At 36.1% G+C, this 6,368-nt stretch overlaps 1 protein-coding gene across 5 annotated transcripts in view; it reads left to right on the forward strand.

The window, feature by feature from the left end:
• VRK1 (VRK serine/threonine kinase 1) overlaps window positions 1-6,368 on the forward strand; it is an 84,228-nt gene that overhangs the window by 2,272 nt on the left and 75,588 nt on the right. The gene's annotated exons all lie outside the window — the stretch shown is intronic.

Consider the following 6,368-nt stretch of genomic DNA (forward strand, 5'->3'; position numbering starts at 1 on the left):
ATGGGAATTAAATGCTGCCTCTTTGTGCGTGTGAGTGAGGCTTTCATGAAAATTGCTCTTGATGGGTTCTGAGAATGGATTGGTAGCTGAATAGGACTGGAGAATATTTTTCAGACTGGTAGGATATTTTACATGCTTGCCAGGGTTATTTTTCGGAGTAAGGAGAAATGGACTCATTTATTCAGCAGAGATCACGTGCCCCCTATTTACAAGGAATTGTGCTAGGTGCAAAGTCTATTGCTATTGTAGTGTTTTGCTGAAGCAAGTTTTCTTTGTTTTAAATTAGTGTACGTCTTTTTTTTTTTTTTTTTAACTTTATCTAGCATCCAGCACAGAATAATCCAATAAATGTGTAGGGCGCCTTTGAAAAACTGCACTATTAATGTTAAAATGTAGAAAATGTTTAATAAAGGTACAAGATTAATTTAAAAGGGTGATAGAACCCTAATAAAACATTTAGGTAGGTGTTGTAACCAAGATGTATTTTTACTCTAGGATAAGTTTGGCTCTTTTGATCAAAATTCCTGTGAATATATTTCTACTTGCCATTATAAAGATGCAGAGGGCTCTGTCCTTTGAATTTTTTCCCTTTGGTGCTTGAATGATATTTAAGCACCCAGCATTCTGAAGTTGCTGTTTTGAAGTAATTTCATGCACTTTCCCAATTACTCCTGCTCCATCTCTCCCAATGTTGTCTTAAATCTTTGCACTCAAATTCAAGCACATCCTACTCCTCCTGTTCTGAGTGACATATGGGCAACACTTTAAAAAAGAAAAGCTCTCTAGAAAATCTAGAGAGGTACGAGCGATGGCCCTTCTCCCATATTAGGAGTTAGATTTTTAGTATTCATCAATAAATACTGATGAGAAGAAACTGCTCTACTTTTACCAACATTCTTCAGGAAATTTATTAAGATTTTTATTAGCCACAGTATCTTTGTCAGCTTGGAAACATATATGTTTGTGAATCACATTTATTTAGTCTTTAGGTAAGTATATGGATTTTGATGATTCTTTGCAGTTACTCCTATCTCTCTATGGGTTTCTTGCCCATAGGATGGGAACCAGTACTCTAGGATTTGAAAATTAAGGTAGATACTGTTCACACTGGCAAATATTTAAGATGAATATTAAACGTGTATACTAAAATGTTTATTGGTAAGTAATTCATTAAATGGGAAGATATACTAGATGAAGTAAATAATTAAATTGCAAGCACAAGCAAATTAAATTTGAGATTTGGGAATGGTCTGTCATATACTTTTAAAGCAAATATCATACTGATAATGGAAGGACACGTGTCTTGTGGAGCTCAGTATCAGGAACAATATAGTTGGTCCTGCAGGGGACTAAACATGAGAACTGAAAGTCATTAGGAACACGAGCAGCCTCATTCCACTGTTCCAGGGACCTTATAATTTCTTTCTGTGTATTTATTTTATTTTCTTTTTGAGGACCGTCTGTCTGGCTGTTTGTATGTCGGCAGATATGTCTGCTCTAGACTTAGATACTTGCTTTAAGAATCCAAAAGAGATTGCATTATCTAATTGTCATTTATATCTAAAATTAAACAAACCATGAAGTTAGACATAGCTAAGATAACCACAGCTTTATTTCAGGTTAATTGCTTTTCTTAGATTGTTTTTATCAAGTGACAGCTAAAGAAAAGTCATCATTTGATGACACTAAGTATTAGTGCATTGTGATTGCGTTTCACAATATTAAGTGTTAGAAAGAACTATTAGACCTTAAGTATTTATAGAATGTGTCTGGAAGACACAGGGAGAGAAACTGTTAATGTTTCTACTGTAGTCTTTAGAGTTGCTTTTTTCACATCTTATTGCAGTTTACTATGTAATTTGGCAACAGCTATCAACATAGAGATTATATGTAATTACAGTGTACCCTTGAACAACTCAGGGGTTGGGAGTGCTGACCCCCATGCAGTTGAAAATCCATGTATAAGCTTTGACTCCTCAAAAGCTTAACCACTCATAGCCTGTTGACCAGAAGCCCTACCAATAGCATAAACAATTAACACATATTTGTATATGTACTATATGCTATATTCTTACAATACAATAAGCTAGAGAAAAGAAAATATTATTAAGAAAACCCTAAGAAAGAGCAAATATATTTATTGTTCATGAAGCGGAAGTGGGCCATCTTAAAGGTCTTCATCCTCATTGTCTTGGTGTTGAGTAGGCTCAGGAGGAGGAACAAGAGGAGAGGTTGGTCTTGCTGTCTTGGAGTGGCAGAGGCAGAAGAAAATCTGTGTATAAGTGGACCTGCACAGTTCACACTCATGTTGTTCAAGGGTCAGCTGTATGCATTTTTTTCTTAGAGGTAATCTGTTATTTGGGAATCAGGAAAAAAGTTTTAAAATTCATTTTTTAAAAATAAGTTCAGGTTATAACATTTAAGAAGTTTAATCTTGTTTTTTCAGACTTGCAGAAAATACTTTAGAAATGCTGACTCTAAAATTTATCTTTCATATGTTGCTGGTAGGAATGTAAAATGATATAACCACTCTGGAAATTAGTTTGGCAATTTCTCGAAAAGTTAAACGTACATTTGACACACAATCCAGCGATTGCACTCCTGAGCCTTTATCCTAGAGAAATAAAAACGTTCACAAAAAAACCTGTACATGAATGCTCGTAGAAGCCTTGTTTATAATAGCTAAAAACCAGAAACAACTCACATGTCCTTCAGTGGGTGAATGGTTAAATAAAATGTGATAGTCTTGCGGTAGAACACCACCATCAAAAAAAGAAACAAACTGTTGGTTCATGCAGCAACTTGGTTGGAGTTTAAGGGCATTGTATTGAGTGAAAAAAGCCAGTCTCAGAGATTGTATGATTCCATTTATATAGGATTCTCAAAATGACAAAATTATAGAAATGCAGAACAGACCGGTTTTGCTGGGGTTAGGGCTGACTTTCTTTGAGATGATAGAACAGTTCAGTGTCTTGTTTATGGTGATGGTTACATGAATCTGTACACATGACACAATGTCCTAGAATTAGACACACAAAAGAATGTAAAAGCTGACATTTCAATAAGTAGTTCAGTGATGAATATTGTATTAGTGTCACTTTCCTGCTTTTGATAATTGCACAGTGCTTGTCCATTTTATGGCTGTATCACATTTAACCATTTACCCATGGAAGGCCATGTGGGTTGTTTCTGGTTTTTGGTGATTGCAGGTAAAGCTGCTATGAACATTAATGTACAGGTTCTTTTGTGACTGTAAGTTTTAATTGTTCTAGAATAAATATCTAGAAATTCAACTGCTGGGTCATATAGTGATAAAACCTTGAGCCCTCTTATTCTGTCCCAGGTGGGGTGTAAATCATCCCTTTGTCCAGCATATCCACACTGTATACACTACCCACCAGCTAGTTAGTCACTCTTGGTTATCAGATTGACTGTCTGGTGTCTTGGTGCTTGTGTTTGAGAATCCCTTATTGTACTTAGTAGTGACCCCAAGTGCAAGACTAGTGATGCTGGCATTTTTTTTTTTTTTTTTTTTGAGGCAGGTCTCTTATCTTGTCCCCCAGGCTGGAGTGCAATGGTGTGATCTCAGCTCACTGCAACCTCCGCCTCCCAGGGTCAAGCGATTCTCTTGCCTCAGCCTCCCTAGTAGCTGGGTCACAGGCGCCTGCTGCCACGCACCGCAAATTTTTGCATTTTAAGTAGAGACAGGGTTTCACCATTTTGGCCAGGCTGGTCTCGAACTCCTGACTTCAGGTGATCCGCCTGCCTCTGCCTCCCAAAGTGCTGGGACTGCAGGGAGTGAGCCACCGCATCTGGCCGCTGACATATTGTTATAATTACTCTTAGTATTGTTGTTAATCTCTTAACTGGCTCCAATTTATAAATTAAGCTTCATCATAAGTATGTCTATCTAATGTATGTATAGGAAAAAACGTATTTATGTAGGGTTCGATACTCTCCATACTCTCCACCATTTAAGGTATCCACTGAGGGCTTTGGAATGTATCCCTCACAGATGAAGGGGGTGCTGCTGTGTTTGAGAGATACAGTTTCTCCACAACCTCACTACCATTTGGTATTGGTGATATTTTTTGTGCGTACTGGTATCTTGTCATGGCTTTAATTTGCATCCTAATGGCTGATGATTTCATGTGCTTATTTGCCATTCATATTTTTTTTGGTGATTTGTCTGTTCAAGTCTTTTACCCGTTTTGTGATTGGTTTGTTTTCTTACTGATTTTAGAGCATTCTTTATATGTTGTGTATACAAAATCCTTTGCCAAATATATGATTTGTAAATATATTCTCTCAGTCTCTGGCTTGTCTTTTCATTCTCTTAACAGTGTCTTTAGCAGCAAAAAAGTTTCAAATTTTGTTAAAGTCCAACTTCTCAATATATGGATCGTGTTTTTAGTGCCTATCTTAGAACTCTCTGCCTAACTCTAGGTCAGGAGGTTGTTCTCATTTTTTCTTCTGTTTTACCCTTATATGTCTTACATTTAGATCCGTGATCCTTTTTGGTTTCATTTTTGCACAGGATGTGAGCTTTAGATCTTGGTACATTTTTCTTTTCCTTTTGTCCATGGATGTCCAGTTGTTCCAAAACCATTTGTTGAAAAGTCTACCCTTTCTCCATTCAATAAGTTTTAAAAATCAAAAATCAGTTGGCCATATACTGTAAATTAGGTATCAAAACAAAGACAGGAAGAAATGAATGAGCAATTAACTATTAATAAATACAGGTTTATTGAAGGTATAACATGGCTGGAGTCTGGAAAAAGTGGGAAAACATTTTAGAGAATAACATGGGCAAAGATCTGTTCTAGAGAAAATAAGTAAGAACTGGCTATTTTTGGGAGTCATGCAAGTGAAGGGAAGTAGAGAAGTAAAGGAAGGATCATTGGTTCGTGAAAAAGAAAGAGTATATAAACTTCTGGCTAGATTGAAGCATTTGTAATCAGTTTCATTGGCTATTAGGAAGGTGCTGTATATTCTTAATCAGGAAAATGGTATGATAGAAATGGTATTAAAGAGAAGTTGTTTTAGGACCATTTGTGGCAGTGATACGTTGGTAGGAAGAACAGGATATAATCATGACCCTTGACTTACAACTTTGTTTTACAAATATCTGCCAGAAAGCTAAAAAAGTGGTGTTACTTCAGAATGTTATAAATTCCTAGTATTTTCTAGAAGGCAGTGGTAGATTTCAAACTTTTGCTGCTGTCCTCAGTGATGGATATGGAGAAGTCAGCAGGACTTCCAAACTGTTTCGTATTTATGCTACTGTTATTAAGTTGTACATTTGGGAAAAAGAGTAGTTTCCGTTGGCTCATTGTTGATGTGGGTGACATTTCTTACCAGGCCTGAAAAGAGTCCAAGCGTTGAGCAACTGAAATGATAAAAACATGAAGAGTTCATAAATCGGTCCAATGAGGAAAAGTTAATGGGATCAGATTTATTTATCATGGCAAAGAGGAGACTCAGGGGTTATTTAATCAGTATGTCCTGATACTTGTATGTGAAGAACTATACAGAGAATGATGATGACCAGCTGTTCTTCAAAATCCTGAGGACTGCATAAGAACAAATGGCTCAAATTGCAGCTTTAAGGTTTTGGTCTTAGGGAAGAATTTCCGGACAGTAAAGACATTATATATTTCATGTGAGATATTAAAGGATACACTAGAAACCTAGATGTAGTATAGGAACATTTTGCTTGTAGTCAGGGGGATGTGAAAGATAACAGATCTATGTTTTTGCCCTCGAGTCCTATTAAATTCATGAGCAAAAGTACTCACTTTCCATTTTGTTAGTGCCTACTTCAGTTGTTAGTTTCTTTCTCCATGCAAATTATACTCTTCCCCTCCCCTGCCGTTTATCTGTGGGGATCTCTTTGGTTTCTGCTTTCTTTTGTGCATTTAAAAGATTATCATGGCTGTAGATTAGACTTAAGTCATTTTAAAAATAATCAGTCAACAAATAGAACCTGTATAGTGTCGAACTACTAGAAATCAATGCATTTCTGTTCCTATTTAGAACATGGAAAAATGTATCATTCCATTAAGAAAAAAATCAGTGATGACTTGTTGAGGCAAGGATTTTACAGTGTAAGAGGTTACCATTGACACATGTTAATGAAAGAAGGGCAGTGTTAAAAGCTTTCATGCAACATCTCACATGTTTTTAAAGTACCTGTTCTGTTTGATTTAACTTCCTTATTCTGATTCTTTTCTACTTGTCTAGATCTTTTTTTCCACTGAAATGTTGAGATTGACCAAGAATATTTCACTTGTGATTTGCAGCCCTTCAGTATTATCACAGAGAATTTTTCTTTTTTTTTTTTTTTTTCTGCAGAAGAGCAAGCTCTT

The sequence above is a fragment of the Homo sapiens genome, chromosome 14 (assembly GCF_000001405.40).
Source record: "Homo sapiens chromosome 14, GRCh38.p14 Primary Assembly".
Classification (NCBI taxonomy): domain Eukaryota; kingdom Metazoa; phylum Chordata; class Mammalia; order Primates; family Hominidae; genus Homo; species Homo sapiens.